The sequence below is a fragment of the Homo sapiens genome, chromosome 17, assembly GCF_000001405.40.
Source record: "Homo sapiens chromosome 17, GRCh38.p14 Primary Assembly".
Classification (NCBI taxonomy): Eukaryota; Metazoa; Chordata; class Mammalia; order Primates; family Hominidae; genus Homo; species Homo sapiens.
This window is the reverse complement of record NC_000017.11, coordinates 48,973,295-48,998,184: the sequence shown is the minus strand read 5'-3', so window position 1 is coordinate 48,998,184 and position 24,890 is coordinate 48,973,295. Positions and strand designations below refer to the sequence as shown.

At 44.8% G+C, this 24,890-nt stretch overlaps 1 protein-coding gene across 6 annotated transcripts in view, besides 1 other annotated feature; it reads right to left on the bottom strand.

Moving 5' to 3' along the window:
* IGF2BP1 (insulin like growth factor 2 mRNA binding protein 1) overlaps positions 1-1,627 on the bottom strand; it is a 59,588-nt gene extending 57,961 nt beyond the window's left edge. For 4 of the 6 annotated variants that reach the window (NM_006546.4, XM_017024022.2, XM_047435140.1 and 1 more), the window contains exon 1: positions 265-800. In NM_006546.4, the coding sequence (NP_006537.3) occupies positions 265-439 (175 nt within the window). In that variant the 5' untranslated portion in view covers positions 440-800. Of the gene's footprint in view, positions 1-264; positions 801-1,163 lie in introns of those variants that run through there. The other 2 variants (XM_011524201.3, XM_047435139.1) reach the window with 2 other exon arrangements.
* Positions 641-710: a silencer, noted in NCBI's record as "silent region_8665". NCBI's record gives its function as "represses an Ori minimal core promoter by ATAC-STARR-seq in GM12878 lymphoblastoid cells {active_cell/tissue: GM12878}" and the evidence as "EXISTENCE:reporter gene assay evidence [ECO:0000049][PMID:35858748]".

Below are 24,890 nucleotides of genomic sequence, written 5' to 3'. Positions count from 1 at the left end.
GTGGGGAGGAAGGATGGGGGAAGCCAGAGCTCCTTATCTCAGGCTGGGAGAAAGGGATGAGGAAATCCCGAATGTTTCTGCGCGGGGGTGGGAGGCGCAGAGCGAGGGAGGGGGCATCGAAGGGGGTAGGTCGAGGGTGGGTACGGAGGCCAAACCCCGCAGGCCCGGGAAGAGAGGAGTTGGCGGGAGAGGAACCGGAAGGTGCGGGTCTCCGTTGTTCGGGGCTCTCGTTGTGGCTTTTCCGGGAGGTGGCTGTGTTCTTACCGGAGAAAGTTTCGATGGCCTTCATCGCCCAGTGCTCGTCCGGGCAGTCCACGAAGGCGTAGCCGGATTTGACCAAGAACTGGCCGCTGTAGGAGATCTTGTGCTCCGCAAACACTTTCTCCAAGTCCGCGGGGGTCACGCTCTCGTTGAGGTTGCCGATGTAAAGCTTGTTCATGGTGGCGGTCTCGGGGCAGGACGCGGTCCCGGGCAAGGCCGAACGAGCGGGCGCGGGCGGCGAGCCTCCTAGGCCAAGAGGCGGAGAGGCCGGCGGCAGGAGCCGCAAACTTTCTTTGCACCCCACCCCAGAAGTTGTCCCGAGCCCAGGGCGGGGAAGGCGGCCTGAGGGCGCGCAGAGGTCGCGGGAGAGTTCGGGGAGAGCCCAGGAGAAGTGCCCGCGGCGCGCAGGGAGACGGACGACACGGCGCAGCTTCTTCCCTTCGGTCCGAAACCCCTCCGAGAGGGCTGGTGTGTCACGTTTCTCCGCGGCCGCCCTGGCGCCGCCTCTAAATAAAATCGACTTGAAAAAAAATGGAGCGGAAAAAAAAAAAAAAAAAAAAAGGAGAAGCCACGTGGTGACAGCCCCCACCCACCCTGCAGGGAAAGACCCCCGACGCCACAGGGCCCCTCGGCCCTCCGGCCAAACCCGATAATCTCCCGCCTGAGGGTGGGGAACTCAACTCACCCCCGGGGTAAACTGGGGCGGTGCGGCAGCGTCCCTGAAGCTCTACAGGCCCCTTCCCCCTTTGCAAGAACCTGGCCCCTAGGGAAGCGCCCCGCCCCCACCCATCCCCCTACCCCAGCCCAAACTGGGGGAGGATGGTCCAGCCCAGATCTCACATGTCTTAAAGGGTAAAATGTACGGTTATTTTTCATTCGTTTTGGGGGGCGGGGTTGCTCACCCCTCCCCGGTTAACTGCTAGCGACTGACAGGCGGGGGACGGCCGAGACAGACAAAGAGAAGCCGAAGACTCTGGGGTCTTCAGGAGAGGGTCGCACGAGCTGGTGATTTAAAAAGAAAGGAACCTTTTCCCTAGATGTTTAAATGGGGGGGGTCTCCGCCTTCCCCACGCCAGCCCCACGAAACTCCCCCGCCTCCGGGGATGCAGGACCGGGGGACCCTGCGAGCGCGGGACTGGAAAGCTGGGAACGGGGTATCCCAGTGGAGAACGAGGAAGCCGCAGGAAATAATGTTTTGAGATCCCCACGGGAGAAAGGGTGGTTCGCACCCGGGGTCCGGCTGTTAAATGATAACGTTTCGGGGTCCTGAGGGGAACACGCGGAACTGGCCGGAGATGACTCCAGGAGACAGGAACGGTGGGAGACAAGGAAGAGGAGTGATAGCTAGGGCTAACCGGAGCGAACTGAAGGGGGAGGTCTTAGGGAGGGAGTGACCGGGTGGAGATTTGAATGGTCCCCTTTTCCCTCCCAGAGTCGGGGACAGACAGGTGGAGTTTCCAGAGCCTGCACCACCCGGGACACTGCTGGCAGCTCTCTAGGCCCTAGGTTCGGGTCTCGGAACTTTGTTTGGGGTGCAGGATTCCGATCCTGGCGGGAAGGCGGGAGAGGGACGGAGGGCGGGGGGCTAAGCGGGAAGCCCCGCCCACGTCCCCAGGTCAGACCCGCGGGGGGAGGGGGTAATTTCCGCTCCGCGCACGGGGAAGCGAGGGGCGGGAGCTTAGGGGAGGGGGCGGCGGCCACTCCCCTCCTCCTCCCGCCGTTCCTGGGGAGGGGGAAGCGGATCCGCCTGGGTCCCTTCCCTCGGCTTTGACCAACTCATTCCGGATCCTCCGGCTCCCGGAGCCCGAGGGAAGGACCCGACTGGGCAAGGGGCGACACGTGGGCGGTCGCACCCCGTCTGGGCGGTGGGGGAGGGGGCTGCTCGCCGCGCGTTTCGGAGTCCCGGATACGCGGCGGAGAGCGGGACGCGCGGTCCACGGGCAAGCCCCGGCTCCACGGCGGAGCGGCGAGCGAGGCCAACGAGTTTCTAGCGGCGGAGGCTGGGATGGCGCCAGGGGTGGCCGAGAGCGCGGCCCGGAGACCCTGGAACCCCCTCGCCCAGGGAACGGGGAAAAAGGAGGGGTCGACCCCCAGAAATTCTGGAATCCCCTTGAACAGGGCGAAAACTGGGGTGTTACTCCGGACTCTGTGGGAGGGAGGATAATTCTAGCGGGGGCACGCGTGCTGGGAGGGCAGGTGAGGAAGGGGGTCACTCCCCTTCCCCAGTCCCCGACCCCATTGTCTCAGTCGCCTGCGGCCCGGGCCGACTCCGCAACACGTGTTGACTACACCGATATGAATGCCTTGAATTTTTTTTATTGTTATTATTTTTCGTTTGCAGAGTCTGAGCTGACTCCGACTTTGGCTCACCGCTCTGCGGCCGGACGATTGTATGCCATTCAAAAAGTCGGGAGTTGAAAGACAGCACGCAGCACCTTTGTCCCCCTCCCCGTTTTCCCGGCGCGCTGAAAAGAAATGGGGCTGGGACTTAGGGGCGGGGGAGGGCTTCCAACTCGGTTTCTCTATATCCTCCACCACCTTAGAGCCCACCCTCCCCAATGAGCGTTTTGTTCTACCCAGCCACGTGTTTGTCGGATTTTTGTTTTTGTGATTTTTTTTTCCCATGGAACAACAAGAATTAAAGTACTAGGAGCTATTTGTTGTTGAGTAGAAAGAGAATATTTTCTGTCCAAGAAGGTGGGAGACATCTGTGTCTCACCCCCACACACACACCTCCGACCCTCCCCCCTTATCTGACTCTTAATACTTAGCTGTTGGTCACAAGCATTATTTTTAAACAAACCAATGAGTAGGAAACAGGCATGCCACATAGTAGGCACTCAATAAACATTTTTTTAAATGAAAAACAAGCTAATACAAACAGCACAGCAAAGAGAATTGATGAAAATTAGAGTCCAGGGGGGAAAAAATTATCTTGGCCAGAACGTGTGGCTCTGTTGCCCGGGAACTTTTCTTGGTGATGTGTGTAGACTTTTGAAAGGGCTAAAAGATGGTCTCAAAAAGGCTGTTGTATTTCTTGGCCTTTTCCTAAAGAGGAGCCCCAATCTCCTTAAATCTTTTCTGTTATATTGGGGAACAAGGAGGAGGGCAACTAGGCAGATCATCCCAGTTCCCAGAAACTTTAAGTGCTGTTTCTTTCATTTAATTTGAATCTTTAGGTGCTAATAAAAGCACTTCTCAGATTGTCTCCCTGGGGGACATATCCACTACTCTGCCTCTGTATGCCTAAAACAAAAGCAAGTTACACCCCATAAAAATCTCCATCCAGACCTCTAAACTCCTATAAAATGCAGTCCACTTTTTACTATCCTAGAGTCAATGGGAAACAACATTTTTAAAAATAATCAGTGAATTCAGTTCACTTTCAGGTTGATTTTTTTCCATGTAAAAATATACTAACTAAATGTTAGCTGAAATCAGTTTTAATGTATTTAAGATAACGTTAGAAGAGAATATATAAATTTCACTTGAACAATCTGCTATTTTTAAATCCTTTTAAATATTTAATTAAAAATTACCAATAATTGCTAAATTGAAACTGATTAGTTCTTTTTAAAAAATCAGCTGTTTTACTGAATTCTAATCCTCTCCACCCCCCAAAAAAAGGCTTATGTGTGTATAGTCAGAAGCTGCAAAGGCTGCAAGAATACAAGAGAGGAGACAACAGGGGTGAGATACAGATCTTTTTAGCCCCCAAATCAGTTTTGCCTTAGTGACCTGGCTATTTTAGGCTGGGGTTGGGGGAACTAAATCACATTGATTGGTGTTTCATCTCTCCCTTTTGAATGAGCCCAGCACTCACATTAAGGGTTATTTCTTATCTAGACTGACATTCCTAGGTTAGGGATAAAAATGGGCAGACTTGAGGTACCATAACTTTTCATCTTTCTTTTCTTTGTTTTTGTTAACATTAAAGATTACTATCAAATATTGTATTTATTTTCAATTTTTTTTCTACATTGCTTCTTTGGGACAGATAAATCTTTAGTGCAGAGTTACACTTGTGTAAGAGTTAAAAATATAGCTACAGGATTAAATGGTTTTTTCTTTAATAATTATCCTTTATAATACATATCGTATATAATATATATTGTATATTCTACATAGTAATATTAATACTGTTATACCTCTTCCTCTTCTTGTTCTCCTCCTCTTCCTCCTCTTCTTTATTTTTTCCTGGAGAACAGTTTGGTCTAGTTATGGAATTTAATTATCTGAATTCAGAAACACTGACATTTGACTCCATTTTAAAGATAGGATAATAATCCATTTTCCTCCAATGTGAATATACAAATACATGCAGAGAGGAAAAAAAAAGTTTGAGAGAATAAACCAACTTTTTTAAAGATGAAAATAAAAGAATATTTTTCTTGGAGAAATAAGCCAAGTTAAAAAAAGGAAAGACAAAAAGGAAAGAAAAAAGTTTAAAAAAATGAAAAAAGAAAAAATAGAAAAATTAAAAATCAATAATTTCACTTGTCATAGAAAATTAATTTTACTTGTAAATGTTTATTTTTCAGCATTTGTCCATTTATAATGGTTTAAAATTTATCATTTTTATATCTTAATTTTTCACTTGCATTTGTACCATAAATATTTCCCCAGGCTGCCTCCAAGTTTTCATAACTATCATTTTAATTCAGTCCAGTTATATGTGTAAATTATTAATCATAATATTTAGATATACATTTCATCAAATTTTTTACTTTTGTAAACAGTGCTGAACAGATATTCTGGTGAATATAAATTTTTCCTTTTTGGGGTTAGCTCCTTTGCATAAATCCCCAGAATATATATTGCATTTTAAATCTAACACTTACTGACTCTTCTATTTTTAAAGTGTAGCATGTTTTACAAAAGAAAGAACAAAACAAATGGAAAGCAGCTAGGAGGGAAATACATTAAAATACAATTTATTTTCTAATGAATCCATCAATTTTGGAATAAAATTACGGTTGCTATAAAATACAGAAAAAGGAAAGCTCACATTTCCTGATATATTGCTGCTTTAACCTCAAAGTTTTTAGAGGAATTTGTTTTTTGTTTGGTTGGTTTTTATTTTATTTATTTACTTTTGTTGTTGCTTGCTTGTTTTTTTACTGTTACTACTTTAGGATGTTTTGTTTCTTCCTGCAACTTAAAGTCTTAGTGTGGTTCTTTTAAATGCCTATAAACTTTAAGAAAGTGTAAATTAGTTCCAGTTTAAAAGCACATGCAGCTTTTTCTCCTGTCAAATAAATAAGGATAAGTATGTGTTTAGGATATCTCATAAAATGTAAGCAAACTGTAAGCAGAAAAGGAAATTTTTCTCCTTCAAATTATCGTTCATTCAAAAGTGTTCAGTGTTTAAGACCTGAGAAAGAAATGTATTTATTCCAGAGATAGAAGAGGCTCAAGGGGAAAAAAGAACTTTAAGGACAATCGTTTGTTTTTCTGTGGGTCACACAGTGTGTTTGACAAAACCTCTCAATTTTTTGTTTTGGTTCAGGTTTACAATGTAGAAACTTTTAGGTAAGGAGGGGATCATTTATTTTATTAACTTTAAAAATAGATGTTTTCAAATTCATTTTGTTAGTAAACTACTCCACCCAACCTCTATTAATACATGTAGAAGAAATGGTCAATAACATGCTTCACATTACATTCTTATTACCTTTTGTAATTTTTTTTATTCCAAAGTCATTTGATCAAAAGATAATGTACGATCTTGTTTAGTTCCTACAGCACAAAACACAAAATAGATCACTGATTGATTTGGGGGGGGATTGTATAATTCAAGAAAAGACAAGGAAAAAATGTTATTTTTCAAAATAAATTGTAAAAAGCAACAAAAGAGAAGGAATCCATATATAAATATTAAGGTGGAAACAGTAATGAGACAATTTTGTACTTGAAATCAACATATCTTCTAAATATTTAAATTATTTTAATTCGAAATTAATCAGTTACATGTCAAACTTCATGAAGTTTCCATTTTAGCTACACAACATCTATACATTTTAAGACTAAAAGAATTTTTTAACTCAGCAAATTATTTTCGTTTGCTTTTCTAAAAATTTTACCCCTAATGATGAGATTAACTGACTACTCCTGTTTAGGATTTTTTTTCAGGAGCTGCCACAAATATTTCAGTTACTAGGGATAATGCTGCTATGTTGGGGTTTTTTGTTGTTTTAAATTTTAAAAATTAAGAAATATTATTTCACTAGTATTTCATCACCAAAAAATTAATTTAAAACAGTTCAATCTGTCTTCATGTACAAACCAGATTTACAAAGAAAAGAGACTCAGCCTAATAGTATGGCATTTTTGTTTTAAATGGTTGTTTGACTAAACTGAGACACAATTCTAAAAGTGACTCCTAATTTTCATGAGTTAACAATCTAGAGAGAATTTTGGTTCACCCAACTCTCCTATAAACACCTCCACCTTTTTTTTTTTAAAGAATTATTATCAACACAACTTAATTTCCACTCTTAAACACAATCTGAAAATATTTGGTGAGCATTTATATAATAAATTATTGAGTACATTCTTATAATTTTCTTTTCATTTCTAAAATGTGTTTATAAAGTGTATAGGGAAAGAATTCAGAGTTATTTCTAAATTGCTTTAAAATGAGGTTCCTGACCCATCTTTTTTCCTACCTTCCTCTTCCTCCCTGCCCCTCCCCCTGCCCCTGCCCCTCCCCTCTCTCTTCCTCCCCCTCTCCTTTTGTTCCTCCATTTTTCTTCCCGCTCCGGACACTGTCAGTTCCTTTCCTCCTCCCCCTTTACCTTTACCCTCTTTTCAATTTTTCTTTTTCTTTGTTGCTTCTCTTTACCCTTTTATTATTCTCCTGCTCCTCTGCCCCTCAACTGATTTGTTCCTTCTCTTAAATCAATATACCTAACCAAACTTTCTGTCCTTTTTCTTCTCCCTCTCCCACTATCACTAACTTGTTCTCATTCAAACTTACTTCTAGTGAAAGGGAAGGATGCAGAGATGCTTGAATTATTTTATACACCAAAAGGGGAAACTTGTTACATTTTTTAGGAGAACCTCAGGATGATTCAGTTCCCAGAACAACTCCGCTCCAGTATTCCCAGTTTTTATTGGCTGAACATTCATCAGACACTTTGACATTTTTGTGTCATTTTTCCATGTCCTACTTTGCTTATAACTAAATTTGTAATTAGCATTTTATGACCAAATCCTTGAGGGCAAAGCCTCTGTATCACCCAGGGTGTCTAACAGTGCTGACAGTAAAAATCTACTGAATAAGTATATTTGATACTATCTGAGAAGATGTGATCATTGTGATCAGATAAGATGCTGTTTTCAGCCTGTAAGCGCCTTTTTCTTTTAAATAAATACAACACAATCAGATGAAATACAGATAAATGTAGTCATTTAAAAGGATAATTGGTCTATATCAAAAATAGCAACCAAGGGGCATCTCTGAGCTTGAGCTTGTTGCTCCCTGGTTCTGTTCCCATGACAGTTTTGTGCCCATGGCAGTTCTGTACCCAAGGTCAGCAACCGCTTTCCTCTGTGTCTGGTCACACCGGCTCAGAATTCTCAACTGAGGGCTTCAGGCAATCACAGCCACCATCAGAATTAATTACAGAGCCCTTTGCCATTCTGATATCCTCTAGTGCCCCACAGCCAGGATGACAGTCTTAAGGAGGTAACCCACATACACCTACTGCCAAGAGCTCTCTTAGGTTCTTCCTTCTGGGAATGTAACTAGCACCCCACTAACTACATACATAAAGATTTCTTATTTTGTATATCATCCAAAGCAAAAACGTTACCCCAAGACAGCCCTTCTCATTGGTCCCCAGGTCGTCTGTTATAGCCCCTCAGCCAGAGCAGATGTTCACCTAATGTCCTACCTGTCAATACAGCTATGAACACCCAAGGAGAAAGCAAACCAATTTTTATAGCAGGCTAAATTAAAACAAAAACTAAGCAGTTCATGAAAATAGTAAGGTTGCGTGTTTTTAAATATATTTATAATACTCATTACTAGCAAGAATATAGTGAAATAAACATTCCATATGGCTGTGTGGGAGGACAATTTTAAGGCAACAAGAACCTTTAAAAATTAATTTCTCTTTCACTTAGAAATTGCACTATTGAGTAACCTCTCTACAAAAAAATCCAGTATGTAAAAAAAAAAAAATTATTCAGCCTTAAACAGGAATGAAATTCTGATACCTACTGCAATATGGATGAACTTTGGAAACATGCTAAGTAAAATAAGCCAAAGCAAAAGGATAAATGGATGATTCGTAGTTGGTACAGAATTTCAATTTTGGATGAAAAAATTCATGAGATGGGTAGTGTAATGGTTGCATAACAGTGTGAATGTACTTAAAGCCACTGAATTTTATGCTTCAAATGGTTAAAATTGTAAATTTTATTATGTATATTTTATCTTTTTTTTTTTAAGAGACAGAATCTCACTGTCGCCCTGGCTGGAGTTCAGTGACACAATTAGAGCTAACTGTAGCCTTGATCTCCTGAGCTCAGGTGATCCTCCCACCCCAGCCTCCTGAGCAGCTGGGACTACAGGCAAGCTACCACTATGCCCAGCTCATTTTTATTTATTTATTTATTTATTTATTTATTTATTTATTTATTTCGTAGAGACCGGATCTCACTATATTGCCCAGGCTGGTCATGAACTCCTGGCACCAAGAGATCCTCCCACCTTGGCCTCCCAAAGTGTTGGGATTGCAGGCATGATATCATGATATTTTTAAAGGCAAAAAAAAAAAATTGGTTTAAAAAAATCTAAACAAACAAACAGGGTCGGGTGCGGTGGCTCACACCTGTAATCCCAGCACTTTGGGAGGCCGAGGCCGGTGGATCACATGAGGTCAGGAGTTCGAGACCAGCCTGACCAACATGGAGAAACTCTGTCTCTACTAAAAATACAAAAATTAGCCGGGCGTAGTGGTGCATGCCTGTAATCCCAGCTACTCGGGAGGCTGAGGTAGGAGAATTGCTTGAACCCAGGAGGCAGAGGTTGCAGTGAGCCGAGATTGTGCCATTGCACTCCAGCCTGGGCAACAAGAATGAAACTCCGACTCAAAAAACAAACAAACAAAACAATGAATAAAGATGTGTTATTAATAACCGTCAAAAAAAACTTTCAGCTGGGCAAGGTGGCTCATGCCTGTAATCCCCCCACTTTGGGAGGCTGAGGCCAGAGGAGCACTTGAGCCCACGAATTCGAGACCAGCATGGGAAACACAATGAGACCTCATTTCTACGAAAAATTTTAAAAATTAGCCGCGCTTGGGAGCTAGGCGCGGTGGCTCACGCCTGTAATCCCAGCACTCTGGGAGGCCGAGGTGGGCGGATCACGAGGTCAGGAGATCCAGACCATCCTGGCTGACACGGTGAAACCCCGTCTCTACTAAAAATACAAAAAAATTAGCCAGGCGTGGTGGCGGGCGCCTGTAGTCCCAGCTACTCGGGAGGCTGAGGCAGGAGAATGGCGTGAACCCAGGAGGCGGAGCTTGCAGTGAGCAGAAATCGCGTCGCTGCACTCCAGCCTGGGCGACAGAGCAAGACTCCGTCTCAAAAAAAAAAATAAACAAACAACAATAAAAAAAAATTAGCCGGGCTTGGTGGCACATGCCTGTTGTCCCAGCTACTCGGGAGACTGAGGTGGAAGGATCGCTTGAGCCCAGGAGATCAAGGCTACAGTGAGCCGAGATGGGTGCCACTGCACTCCAGCTTAGGCAACAGAGTGAGATCCTGTCTAGAAAAAGAAAAAGAAAAAAGAAAGGAAGAAAAGTTTTAACAATATAAATATTAAAAGAGGAATATTCAAATAACTTCTAGCATAACCACTTGAAATATTACATTCCAAAGGGTTTAGAGAAATTTGAGAAAAAGTTTACAGAAAATGAACACAAAACAGTATTTGTGTTCATATAGTTCATATGATTGGAACCTTTTTAAAAAAAATTTAACTACACGTGCATAAAAGACTAGAAATTACCTGCAGAAATCCGTGCCCAGAGACATGTTGTACAAGCATATCCACAGCAGCATTGCTTATAATAGCAAAACTAGAAACCATACTAAAGTTTATCAATAGGAGAACAGATAATAATGCCTGGTATACTCATTCAGTGAAGTACTAATAAGCGGTGTCAATGAATGAACTTCACCCACACAAGCCAAGATGGATGAGTCTCACAGCGTTAATCTAAAAAACCTGGGAAGCAAAGGTGCGCACCATTAGTCCCAATTACTCAGGAGGCTGAGGAGGGAGGGTTGCTTGAGCCCAGGAATTTGAATCCAGCCTGGGCAACATAAGAAGTCTCCATCTCTTAAAAAAATTATTTAAGGTAAAAAGCAAAACAAAACCTAGAACTGAGGAACAGACACATTATGGTTTTGTTTACATAAGTTCCAAAATATCCAAAACTAAACAATGTATTGTTTAGGTATACATTCAGAAAAGGTAACACTTTAACAAAAGTAAAAAGAATGATGAACAAAATTCCAGAGTGTGGTTCATTCTGGGGAAGTAGCACAGGGCTGATTGCAGAGGGGCACAGAAGGCACTTCAAAGATATTGAGAAAAAAAAAGAGATATTGAGGATGTTCTAGTTCTTAATCCATGTAGCAACTACACAGTGCTTGTTTTATCATTCTTAAAACAGCACAGGCCAGGCGTGGTGGCTCAAGCCTATAATCCCAGCACTTTGGGAGGCCAAGGCGACAGATCACTTAAGGTCAGGAGTTTGAGACCAGCCTGGCCAACAAAGTGAAATCCTGTCTCTACTAAAAATACAAAAATTAGCTGGGCATGGTGGCAGGCGCCTGTAATCCCAGCTATTCGGGAGGCTGAGGCACAAGAATCGCTTGAACCCGGGAGGCGGAGGCTGCAGTGAGCCAAGATTGCGCTATTCCACTCCAGCCTGGGCTACAGAGCAAGACTCAGTCTCAAAAAGCAAAACGAAACAAAAAAACAGCACATGTACCTTTTATATTATGGATATTACGTTTGTTAAGTATAAATATGTCATAATAAAAACTAATTGAAATAGCCAGGCGCAGTGGGTCACGCCTGTAATCCTAGCACTTTGGGAGGCCGAGGTGGGTGGATTGCCTGAGCTCAGGAGTTCAAGACCAGCTTGAGCAACACGGTGAAACCCCATCTCTACTAAAATACAAAAAAAAAAAAAAATTAGCCGGGCTTGGCAGCATGCACCTGTAATCCCAGCTACTTGGGCGGCTGAGGCAGGAGAATCGCTTGAGCCCGGGAGGTGGAGGTTGCAGTGAGCTGAACTCAAGCCATTGCACTCCAGCCTGGGTGGCAGAGCCAGACTCTGTCTCAAAAAAAAAAAAAAAAAAAAAAAACTAATTGAAATAACAAAAAGTCTAGGAAGAAATTGTTAACAGTGATTCTCTTTGGCTTTGAGAACACGAATGTTCTCTTTCTTTCCCCGCTGTGTGTTTCTCTTCCTCTTAACTCATATTTTTCAACATTTCTAGATTGTGTGTATTATATTTTTACATAGCAAATTATTAAAAAGTCAAATGAATATTTGAAATATTTGAATGAATCATCCCAGAATACCTGTGTAAACCAAATGGGGAATAGTTTTGGATGATCTCCTGCCCCAAGATTTGATGCCACCAGAAATTCTTCCATTAATTAGCAACCAGCAAGCATTGAGGGTTAGCTGCAACACACCCTGATCAATCATGGATGTGGACTGACTTTAGCTAAAAGTCTGATTAATTATACATGTATTCATAATAAATTGAGAGGGCATGTGCTGAAACTTAGGACCACCATGGTAAACAGCAGCGAGTAAGCACTCAGATTCACACCTTGCCCGTCTGTCCTGGATCCGGCAGACGCGTTGCTCCTTTCCACTGCCAAGCTAGAGCATTTCATTTGCATTCACTGGAAACCTCTAAGCATGAAGCCCTCATCAGTCTGAGAGTTTCTCCTCATCAGTCTGAGAGTTTCTTGCTGTAGTATCACGTCTTACAACACACTGGAAACCACAAAGCAAGATCCATATTGCTTCGTTTTTTTTTTTTTGTTTTTTTTTTTTGAGACAGAGTCTTGCTCTGTTGCCCAGGCTGAAGTGCAGTGGCTCAGTCTCGGCTCGCTGCAACATCCACCTCCCAGGTTCAAGTGATTCTGGTGCTTCAGCCTCCCCAGTAGTTGCTATTACAGATGCACGCCACCATACCCGGCTAATTTTTTGTATTTTTAGTAGAGACAGGATTTTGCCAGGTTGCCCAAGCTGGTCTCAAGCTCCTGAGCTCAGGCAATCCGCCCTCCTCAGCCTCCTAAAGTGCTAGGATTACAGGCATGAGCCACTGTGTCTGGTCATATTGCTTCATTTATCTAAGCAAGTCGTTTCCATTATTTTCATCACCTAGCATTTCTTTTATTATTTCTTCATGAGCCCAATGTTTTGAAAAATGTTGCCTATCAAAAAATTCCATTGATCAAGTAATAACAAATTATGCCTGTTATAATTGTGTAGAGCAGGGCTTTTGCCCTGCATAAATGGCAAGAGTTTGTACAGCCAGGCATTGTGGCTAATGCCTGTAACCCCAGTATTTCGGGAGGCCAAGGCAGGAGGATCATTTGAGCCCAGGAGTTTGATTCGAGCCTGGGCAACATAGCAGAGATCTCATCTCTACTAAAAGTCAAAAAAGCCGGGTGTGGTGGCCCGTGTCTATAGACCCAGCTACTAGGAAGGCTGAGGCAGGAAGATCTCTGGAGCCCAGGAAGTTGAGGCTGCACTAAGCTATGATCGCTGCACTGCACTCCAGCCTGGGCAACAAAGGGAGACCTCATCTCTAAAAAGAAAAAAAGGCCGGGCACTGTAGCTCACGCCTGTAATCCCAGCACTTTGGGAGGCCGAGGTGGGTGGATCACGAGGTCAGGAGTTCAAAACCAGCCTGGCCAATATGGTGAAACGCCGTCTCTACTAAAAATACAAAAATTAGCCAGGCATGGTGGCACCTGCCTATACTCCCAGCTATTCGGGAGGCTGAGGCAGAAGAATCACTTGAACCCAGGAGGCGGAGGTTGCAGTGAGCTGAGATCGTGCCACTGCACTCCAGCCTGGGCGACAGAGCGAGACTCTGTCTCAAAAATAAATAAATAAATAGCCGGACACGGTAGCTTACGCCGGTAATCCCAGCACTTTGGGAGGCCGAGGCGCATGGATCACAAGGTCAGGAGTTCAAGACCAGCCTGGCCAACATGGTGAAACCTCGTCTCTACTAAAGATACAAAAAATTAGCCAGGCATGGTGGCACATGCCTGTAATCCCAGCTACTTGGGAGGCTGAGGCAGGAGAATCACTTGAACCCAGGAGGCAGAGGTAGCAGTGAGCCGAGATAACGCCATTGCACTCCAGCCTGGGCAATAGGGCGAGACTCTGTCTTAAATAAATAAATAAATAAGAAGAAAAAAGATTGTGCACAAATTCACTGAAAGCAAAGAGACTTTGCATTGGGATCTGCCTGTACAGCCTTGCCCAGAGCAAATGGCTGATTTGTGTTGGATGTCCTATAGATAACACTGTACCCATTAGCCCTACCTTCTTTCCTTCCTAGAGCTCCGAATCTAGGGACCTTAGGAATTAAGAGATGTTATTCAGGACCAGGATCAGCTTTCCCAGTCCCCTATGTTACCTGGGAGGAGAGCAGAAAAGGACAGAAGAAATCCAGGAGAACATTGTAAAACATGGCAGGCCGGGCGTGGTGGCTCATGCCTGTAATCCCAGCACTTTGGGAGGCCGAGGCGGGTGGATCACCTGTGGTCAGGAGTTCAAGACCAGCCTGACCAACATGGCAAAACCCCGTCTCTGCTAAAAATACAAAATTAGCCGGGTTTGGTGGCATATGCCTGTAATCCCAGCTACTTGGGAGGCTGAAGCAGAAGAATTGCTTGAACCTGCGAGGTGGAGGTTGCAGTGAGCCAAGATCGTGCCACTGCACTCCAGCCTGGGTGACAGAGCAAGACTCTAAAAAAAAAAAAAAAAAAAAAAAAAAAAAAAGTGGCAAACATCCTGAGGCGCCAGTACCATTGTTTCTACTTCATAGGTCAACTGTGCCTCACGTTGGTGGCAAGACCAGGAGTCTAACCCAGCTGTACCTACAGCCAAAGTCCTTGCTTTTGCCTTGATAACAGTGCTTCATGACCTTTGAAGCATTTAAAAATCCAATGCAGTCCGGGCGCGGTGGCTCATGCCTGTAATCCCAGCACTTTGGGAGGCCGAGGCGGATGGATCATCTGAGGTCGGGAGTTCGAGACCAGCCTGACCAACATGGAGAAACCCGGTCTCTACTAAAAATACGGAATTAGCCAGGAGTGGTGGCACATGCCTGTAATCACAGCTACTTGGGAGGCTGAGGCAGCAGAATCGCTTGAACCTGGGAGGCAGAGGTTGTAGTGAGCCGAGATCGCACCATTGCACTCTAGCCTGGACAGCAAGAGCAAAACTCCATCTCAAAAAAAAAAAAAAATCCGATGAAACACACATGTATCACAACTTATTTTATACAAGCCATAAAGTTATTGAGTTATACAACTCAATGGACAAAGCGTCTTTTCAACAAATAGTGCTAAAACAATTAAACATAGATATGCAAAAAAAAAAAAATCTTCTGTTCGTGCCTCACCTTATGTATAAAAATTAACTCAATCACCGGGTGCAGTGGTTCACGCCTGTAATCCCAGCACTTTGGGAGGCCAAGGCAGGCGAATCACCTGAGGTGGGATCACCTGAGGCCGGGAGTTCGAGGACAGCCTGACAAACATGCAGAAACTGTCTCTACTAAAAATACAAAATTAGCTGGGCATGGTGGCCCATGCCTGTAATCCCAGCTACTCAGGAGGCTGAGGCAGGAGAATCGCTTGAACCCAGAGGTGGAGGTTGCGGTGAGCCGAGATTGTGCCATTGCACTCCAGTCTGGGCAACAAGAGTGAAACTCTGTCTCAAAAAAAAAATTAACTCAATCATATGCTTAAATGCAATTATTTAAGTCACATACCTAAATGTAAGACCAAAAACTATAAATCTTCTAGGAGAAAAATTGGTGATCTTGGGCTGGGTATGGTGGCTCGTGCCTATAATCCCAGCACTTTGGGAGGCCAAGATGGGTGGATCACCTGAGGTCAGTAGTTTGAGACCAGCCTGGCCAACATGGCGAAACCCCATCTCTACTAAAAGTATAAAAAATAGTCAGGTGTGGTGGCACACGTCTGTATCCCCAGCTACTTGGGAGGCTGAGGCAGGAGAATTGCTTGAACCTGGGAGGCAGAGGTTGCAGTGAGCAGAGATTGTGCCACTGCACTCCAGCCTGGGCGATAGAGTGAGACTCTGTCTCAAAAAAAAAGAAAAAAAAAAAAAAGATGGTGATTTTGGGTTAGCAAAGACATTCCAGACAGATATGATGCCAAAAGCACAATCACTAAAAGGCTGAGTTGAGCCAGGTGTGGTGGCTCATGCCTGTATACCAAGCGCTTTGGGAGGCTGAGGCAGGAAGGGAGGATTGCTTGAGGTGAGGAGTTCCACACCAGCCTGGGCAGCATAGTGTACCCCATCTCCATAAAAAAAATACAAAAAAAAAATTACAAAAAGATACTGTTAAGAGAATGGGAAGATAAGATACAGTGAGACCCTGTCTCTATAAAAAAAAAAAGAACAAAAGAAAGAAAGGAAGGAAGGAAGGAAGGAAGGAAGGAAGGAAGGAAGGAAGGAAGGAAAAATAAACCAAACTGATAAATTGAACTTCATCAAAATTTAAAACGTCTGCTCTTGAAAAGATATTGTTAGCCAGGCATGGTGGCTTATGCCTATAATCCCAGCCCAACACTTTGAGAGGCCAAGGCAGTATGATTGCTTGAACCCAGGAGTTCAAGACCAGCCTGTGCAACATGATAAAACCCCGTATCTACCAAAAATACAAAAAAAATTAGCCAGTGGAGGCTGGGCGCAGTGGCTCACGCTTGTAATCCCAGCACTTTGGGAGGCTGAGGCGGGTGGGTCAGGAAGTCAGGAGATCAAGACCACGGTGAAACCCCGTCTCTACTAAAAATACAAAAAAAAATTAGCCGGCCGTGGTGGCGGGCGCCTGTAGTCCCAGCTACTCAAGAGGCTGAGGCAGGAGAATGGCATGAACCCGGGAGGCGGAGCTTGCAGTGAGCCGAGATTGCTCCACTGCACTCCAGCCTGGGCGACAGAGCAAGACTCCGTATCAAAAAAAAAAAAAAAAATTAGCCAGTGGAGTGCACCTGTAGTCTCAGCTACTGAGGAGGCTGAGGTGGGAGGATAGTTTGAGCACAGGAGGTGGAGGTTGCAGTGAGCCAAGATTGCACCATGGCACTCCAGCCTGGGCAACAGAGCCAGACCCTGTCTCAAAGAACAAACAAACAAAAAACTCAATAACAGGAAAACAAACAACCCCCCCCCAACCAAAATGAGCAAAAGATTTGAACAGATGCTTCACTAAAAAAGGTATACAGATGGCAAATAAGCCCATGAAAAGATACTCAACATCATTAGTCATTAGGAAAACACAAATTAAAATAACAAGGAGATATTACTACATAACTATTAAAATGGCTTAAAATTAAAAAGACTGATCCTACTCAGTGTTGGCAAAACTTTGGAGGAACTAGAACTGTCATACAAGAGGTGAGAATATAAAATGTTACGATGACTTCAAAAAACATTTTGACAGTCTTAAAAAGTTCAACATGCCTCAATCCTAGGTATTTATTCAACAAAAATAAAAGGAGGAAGCCAAGGTGGGCAGATCACCTGAAGTCAGGAGTTTGAGACCAGTCTGGCCAACATGGAGAAACCCCGTCTCTACTAAAAATACAAAAATTAGTTGGGCGTGGTGGCAGGTGCTTGTAATCCCAGCTCCTCGGGAGGCTGAGGCAGGAGAATCGCTTGAACCCAGGAAGAGGAGGTTGCAGTGAGCCAAGATTGTACCACTGCACTCCAGCCTGGATGACAATGAAACACTTCACCTCAAAAAATAAAAAAAGAAAAAGAAAAACATATGTCTCTATGAAGATTTGTTCATAAATATTCAGAGCAGGTTTATTTTGTTCTTGTTGTTGTTATTGTAGTTTTGTTTGCTTGTTTGTTTGTTTTTGAGACAGGGTCTCGCCGTTGATCAGGCTGGAATGAAGTGGTGCGATCACAGGTTACTGCAGCTTCAACCTCCCCGGTGCAAGCCAGACTCAAGGGATCCTCTTGCCTCAGCCCACCAAGTAGCTGGGACTACAAGGTGCATAACACCACACCTGGCTAACTTTTGCATTTTTTGTAGAGTGGGGCTTCCCCATGTTACCCCATGTTACCCAGGATGTTCTGGAGCTCCTGAGCTCAAGTTATCCACCCACCCCAGCCCCCCAAAGTGTTGGGATTACAGGCGTGAGCCACCAGACCCAGACCATAGCAGCTTTATTTTTAAGAGCCAAAAACTAGAAACAACTCTAATGTCCATCAACAGGTGAATAGATAAACAAACTAATGTATCCATATGACAGAAGACTATTACTCAGCAATAAAGACAATGGACTATTAATCACACTACAACATACATGAATCTCAAAATAAGTAGCTGAATGAAAGAAGCTGACAAAAAAATAATATAGAGTATGATTTCATTTATATAAAATTCTAGAAAAGACAAACTAATCTACGGTCTGCTGGGCACAGTGGCTCACGCCTGTAATCCCAACACTTTGGGAGGCCGAGGTGGGCAGATCACCTGAGATCAGGAGTTTGAGACCTGTCTGGCCAACATGTCAAAAACCCCTCTCTACGAAATATACAAAAATTAGCCTGGTGTGGCCGGGTGCTGTGGCTCACACCTGTAATCCCAGCGCTTTGGGAGGCCGAGGCAGGCAGATCACCTGAGGTCAGGAGTTCGAGACCAGCCTGACCAACATGGAGAAATCCCATCTCTACCAAAAATACAAAATTAGCCGGGCATGGTGGCTCATGCCTGTAATCCCAGCTACTCGGGAGGCTGAGGCAGGAGAATCAGAGGCAGAGAGTGAGCCGAGATCACACCATTGTGCTCCAGCCTGGGCAACAAGAGCAAAACTCTGTCTCAAAAAAATAAATAAATAAATAAACAAAAATAAAGTGCAGCAAGAATAATTATTTTTTACATAGGCATTTTATTTTATTTTATTTTATTTATTTTATTTTGACTGAGTTTTACTCCGTCACCCAGGCTGGAGTGAAATGGCATGATCCTGGCTTACTGCAAACTCTGTCTCCTGGGTTCAAGCAATTCTCCTGCCTTAGCCTACTGGGATTACAGGTGTGCACCACCACGTCTGGCTAATTTTTATATTTTGAGTACAGACAGGGTTTCACCATGTTGGCAAGGCTGGTCTTGAACTCATGGGCTCAAGTGATCTACCTGCCTTGGCCTCCCAAAATGCTGGGATTACAGGTGTGAGCCACTGCGCCTGGCCTACATAGGCCTTTTTTTTTTTTGGCTTTGATGGAACTTTGCTCCATAAAAGGAATCTTAGGTAAGACTTTTTTAAAGCTGAGCCTAGCTATGGGTTTGTACCCTTAAATACCTATATGAGTTGGGCAAATTCCTCTCTTCTTGAGGTCCCAAGATAACTTAGGGCTCCTGGGCCTGTCAGAAAGTGACCTTCTTTACTTACCACAGGTGAGAAACCCTGCACAGGGACTGTAGACAAGGTATGAGGCCAATTCTTCCAAGGGGCTTTTATTGGCTCTATAAGTGAAGTTTTTTGTTGTTGTTGTTGTTGTTATTGTTTTTGTTTTGAGATGGAGTCTCACTCTGTCGCCCAGGCTGGAGGGCAGTGGCGTGATCTTGGCTCACTGCAACCTCTGCCTCCCAGGTTCAAGCAATTCTCCTGTCTCAGCCTCCTGAGTAGCTGGGATTATAGGCATACACCACCATGTCCAGCAAATTTTTGTATTTTTAGTAGAGACAGGGTTTCACCATGTTGGCCAGCCTGGTCTTGAACCCCTGGACTCAAGTGATCCACCTGCCTCAGCCTCCCAAAGTGCTGGGATTACAGGTGTGAGCCACCACACCTGGTCCATTAGTCAAGTTTTATTCCTTAAAGGAAAACATACCATTCCAGTCAATACCTCAGTAAAATAATCAGTTTCTCCAATTGTGTCCTGTTGCAAAAGAAAACATTTTTATAGCACTTATGCAAATAACTATATTGCCATAAGTTAAGAATACGCTCAAGTAGTTTCCAAATTCTGGAGAAATCAGGTAGAGAGAAACAAATGTGCTCCAAATTGTGTTCACAGAAATATAGTTTACTTAATTGTTGAAAGCTGTAAGTAGCTCAAAAGAAAAGTTTTTGTGGCTCCAAAGTCAGCCAATTGGTGCTGCAGCCTATTTCCTGTGGGTTGGGGGTCTCCTCAGTATCGTACCTTCATAGTCACCAGGAAGATGTTACCGGAAAGGGGTCCCTGATCTAGACCCCAAGAGAGGGTTCTTGGACTTCTGAAAGAAAGAATTTGAGGCAAATCCATAGAGTAAAGTGAAAGCAAGTTTATTAAGAAAGTGAACAAATAAAAGAAGGGCTACTCCATAGGCAGAAAAGTCTTTTTTTTTTCTCAGCCCCCAAGTAGCTGGAACTACAGTTGTGTGCCACCGTGCCCCGCTAATTTTTTTTGTATTTTTTTAGAGGTGGGTTTTGCTATGCTGCCCAGGCTCCTCTGTAACTCCTGAGCTCAAGCAATCCACCTGCCTCAGCCTCTGAAAGTGCTGGGATTACAGGCATAAGCAACAATACCTGGCCATGGTTTTTGTTTTCTTCTTTTTTTTTTTGAAATGGAGTCTCTCTCTGTCGCCCAAGCTGGAGTGCAGTGGTGCGATCTTGATTCACTGCAAGCTCCGCCTCACGGGTTCACGCCATTCTCTTGCCTCAGCCTCCCGAGTAGCTGTGACTACCGGCGCCCGCCACCATGCCCAGCTAATTTTTTGTATTTTTAGTAGAAATGGGGTTTCACTGTGTTAGCCAGGACGGTCTCAATCTCCTGACCTCGTGATCCGCCCACCTCGGCCTCCCAAAGTGCTGGGATTACAGGCATGAGCCACCACGCCCAGCCGGTTTTTGTTTTATTCTTTGTTTTGAGACAGGGTCTCACTGTGTCGCCTACGCTGGAGCACAGTGGCATGCACTGCAGAGTCAACCTCCTGGGTTCAAGCAATCCTCTTACCTCAGCCTTGCAAGTAGCTGGGACCACAGGCATGTGACACACACACACACACACACACACACACACACACACGCACAATGTTTTTAATTAGCAGAGCATGGTGGTGTACACTTGTAGTCTCAGCTCCTTGGAAGGTTGGGGCAGGGGCATCACTTGAGCCCAGGAGATGAGCTATGATTATGCCACTTCACTCCAGCCTGGGGGACAGATTAAGACCCTGTCTCTAAAGCAAAACAAAATAAACTAATGAAATAGCTAAAGTTGATGATGATGAAAAGAAATGCTCAATGAACTGAGCATCTTCTGTAATAATAACAATGTTGGGCTGGGCGCAGTGGCTAATGCCTGTAATGCCAACACTTTATGAGGCCAAGGAGGGCAGGTCACCTGAGGTCGGGAGTTCAAGACCAGCCTAACTAACATGGAGAAACCCCATCTCTACTAAAATTACAAAATTGGCTGGATGTGGTGGCTCATGCCTGTAACCCCAGCTACTCGGGAGGCTGAGGCAGGAGAACTGCTTGAACCCGGGAGGCGGAGGTTGTGGTGAGCCGAGATTGTGCCATTGCACTCCAGCCTGGGCAACAAGAGCAATAGTCCGTCTCAAAAAATAAAAAAATAACAATGTTGGCCAACATATTTTAGGGCTGATTATGTATATGGTAGCCAGCCTCCAAACTGGCCCCCAGTGGTCTTCACCTCTTGGTATTCACATTGTGCGTAATGCCTCTCACATTGCACCAGGATTGGTCTGTGTGACCAACAGCATATAGCTGAGGTGATGTTATGTCACTTCCAGAGTAAAGTTTTAAAACCTAACTGTGGGCTGGGCGCAGTGGCTCATGCCTATAATCCCAGCACTTTGAGAGGCCAAGGCGTGTGGATCATCTGAGCTCAGGAGTTCAAGACCAGCCTGGGTAACATGGCAACACCCTGTCTCTACCAAAAACACAAAAAATTAGCTGGGCGTGGTGGTAGGCACCTGTAGTCCCAGCTACTTGGGAGGCTGAGGTGGGAGGATCACTTGAGCCTGGGAGGCAGAGGTTGCAAGTGAACTGGGATGGTGCCACTGCACTCCCGCCTGGGTGACAGAGTGAGACCCTGTTGCAAAAACAAACAAACAAACAAACAAAAAACAAAACATCTAATTGTGGTTTTCATCTTAGGTGTATGCCCTCACTCTGGGGAAAGAAATGACAAGCCCTATGGAGAGGTCCACATAGTGAGGAACTGAAGCCTTCAGCCAACAGTCATGGGAATGAGCATGAAAGGTGATCCTATAGCACCAGACAAGTTTTCTAAGACTGCAGTTTAGCCAACAGTTTGACTCCAACCTCATGAGAGACCTTGAGTCAGAACCACCCAACTAAGCTGCTCTCAAATTCCTGAATCTCAGAAACTGTGTGAGATAACAAATGTTTGTTTTAAGCTGCTAAGATTTGGAGTAATTTGTTAGGCAGCAGAAGATAACTAATGCATCAAGATACAATGTAACATAATGCATCTTCTAAGTATACATGTGTCTCAAATCAATCCTTCCAGGTAGAAACTATTACATTTCCTATTTTACAGAAAGGCAAACTGAAGTGCCCCCTGGAGCAAGTTGCTATAAATTATCCTACTCGTAAGCATAAGTGCATAAGTGGGTCTATCTCCAAAGCTCTTGCTCCTAATATGGACTTTCATAACCTTCCATCATGCCCCAGGTGCTGGGATGTCAGCCTGGCTTTCTTTTCTTTTTCTTTCTTTCTTTCATTTTATTTTATTTTATTTTATTTGAGACAGAGTTTTGCTCTTATTGCCCAGGCTGGAGGCTGGAGAGTTAAGCGATTCTCCAGCCTCAGCCTCCCAAGTAGCTGGAATTACAGGCACCCGCCACCACGCCCAGCTAATTTTTGTATTTTTAGTAGAGATGGGGTTTCACCATGTTGGCCAGGCTGGTCTCGAACTCCTGACCTCAGGTGATCCACCCACCTCAGCCTCCCAAGTGCTGGGATTACAGGCGTGAGCCAGTGCACCTGGCCTCAGCCTGGCTTTCTTTCTTTCTTTTTTTTTTTTTTTTGAGACAGAGTCTCTCTCTGTTGCCAGGCTGGAGTGCAACTGCGTGATCTCAGCCCACTGAAACCTCCGCCTCCAGGGTTCAAACAATTATCCTGCCTCAGCCTCCCGAGTAGCTGGGACTACAGGCACATGCCAACACACCCAACTAATTTTTTTGTATTTTTAGTAGAGACAGGGTTTCACCATGTTGGCCAGGATGGTCTCGATCTCCTGACCACGTGATCCACCCGCCTTGGCCTCCCAAAGTGCCGGGATTACAGGCGTGAGCCACCGCACCAGGCCCAGCCTGGCTTTCTTAATTCACTGTATTTAATTTTCTCCATAGCCCAAGCACAGTGGCTCACACCTCTAGTCTCAGCACTTTGGGAAGCCAAGGCAGGAGGATTACTTGAGCCCAGGAGGTCAAAACCAGCCTGGGGCAACATAGCAAGATCTGTACTTAAAAAATAAATGACCGGGCATGGTGGCTCATGCCTGTAATTCCAGCACTTTGGGAGGCTGAGGCGGGTGGATCACAAGGTCAAGAGATCGAGACCATCCTGAACAACATGCTGAAACCCTGTCTCTACTAAAAATACAAAAATTACCTGGGCAAGGTGGCACTCACCTGTAGTCCAGCTGCTCAGGAGGCTGAGGCAGGAGAATCTCTTGAACCCAGGAGCGGAGGTTGCGGTGAGCCGAGATCGCGCCACTGCACTCCAGCCTGGTGACAGAGGGAGACTCTGTCTCAAAAAAATAATAATAACAAAATAAAATAAAATTAGCCAGGCATGGTTGTGCATGCCTGTAATCCCAACTACTCAGGAGTTGGAGGAGGTCAGGCTACAGTGAGCTGTGATTTATTTTTTATTTTTTATTTTTTGAGACGGAGTTTTGCTCTTGTCCCCCAGGCTGGAGGGCAATGGCACAATCTAGGCTCGCTGCAACCTCCACCTCCCGGATTCAGGCGATTCTCCTGTCTCAGCCTCCTGAGTAGCTGGGATTACAGGTGTGTGCCACCACACCTGGCTAATTTTTGTAATTTTAGTAGAAATGGGATTTCACCATGTTGGCCTGGCTGGTCTCGAACTCCTGACCTCAAGTGTTCCTCCCACCTTGGCCTCCCAAAGTGCTAGAATTACAGGCATGAGCCACCATGCCCGGCCAGTGAGCTGTGATTGTGCCACTACACTCTAGCCTGGGTGACAGAGTGAGAAGACCCTAAATTAAAAATAAAAATCAATAATTTAAAAAATAATGATGATTTTCAGCATAGAGTGATGCAGGGGAGATCATTGCAGAGAATACTGCCAGCCAACACTAGCAGGATACCTTCAAGTTAACAGTAAGGTAAGCTGGGAAAGTTTTGTTCTTATGTCCAGTTTAGAAATGGGCAAGTGAGTTAAGCCTCAGAGTGGTTAAGAGCTTTGCCCAAAGCCAAACATAACCTTGGTAGTGGGGACAGGTGGAGCTGGGGCTTGAACTCCAGTCTAATCCTCTCTCTCTGCCCACCAAGCTGCTCCTTAATCTAATTAAGGAGGTATATGTTTTCCGAAGTTGCAGAAGCCCCACCCACACACTCACCCATTGCAGGACTCGGATACCAGGGGCAGGAGGGGGCGCAAGGGTAGGGGAGGTTCCACTGGGGACTCTGGAAACTGCTCCATCCTTCATGCCCCCACACAAGGAAAAGGAAGAGAAAACCCTCCCTTCTCACCACTGTCTTCCTTTCTCTGGGATGTACCCCTAGCAGAAAAACAGAGGAGCTCAGGAATTCTGCTCTTTCAGGGAGGCCCAGCCCTTTTCTTTTTCTTTTTCTTTTTTTCTTTTTTCTTTTTAGACAGAGTCTCGTTCTGTTGCCCAGGCTGGAGTGAAGTGGCGTGATCTCAGCTCACCACAACCTCCACCTCCCGGATGCAAGTGATTCTCCGGCCTCAGCCTCCCAAGTAGCTGGGACTACAGGCGTGCACCACCATGCCCAGCTAATTTTTTGAATTTTTACTAGAGACAGGGTTTCACTATGTTGGCCAGGCTGGTCTCAAACTCCTGACCTCGTGATCCGGCCGCCTTGGCCTCCCAAAGTGCTGGGATTACAGGCGTGAGCCATCGTGCCTGGCCCCCTTTGGCCTTTTATCCTAAATACACAATCAATTTTTTCCCTCCAGCAGGACTCCTTGGAAGTGAGGACCTTGTAGCCATCTTCTCCCATTCCAACTCTTCACTGCAGCCCTCCTCCCACGGATTAGGCAGCAACTACTAAGAGCTTGAGCTCTTTTCCCGACAAACAAAAGCCTTTGAAAACAGCAAGAGGGATTGGGGTTAGAA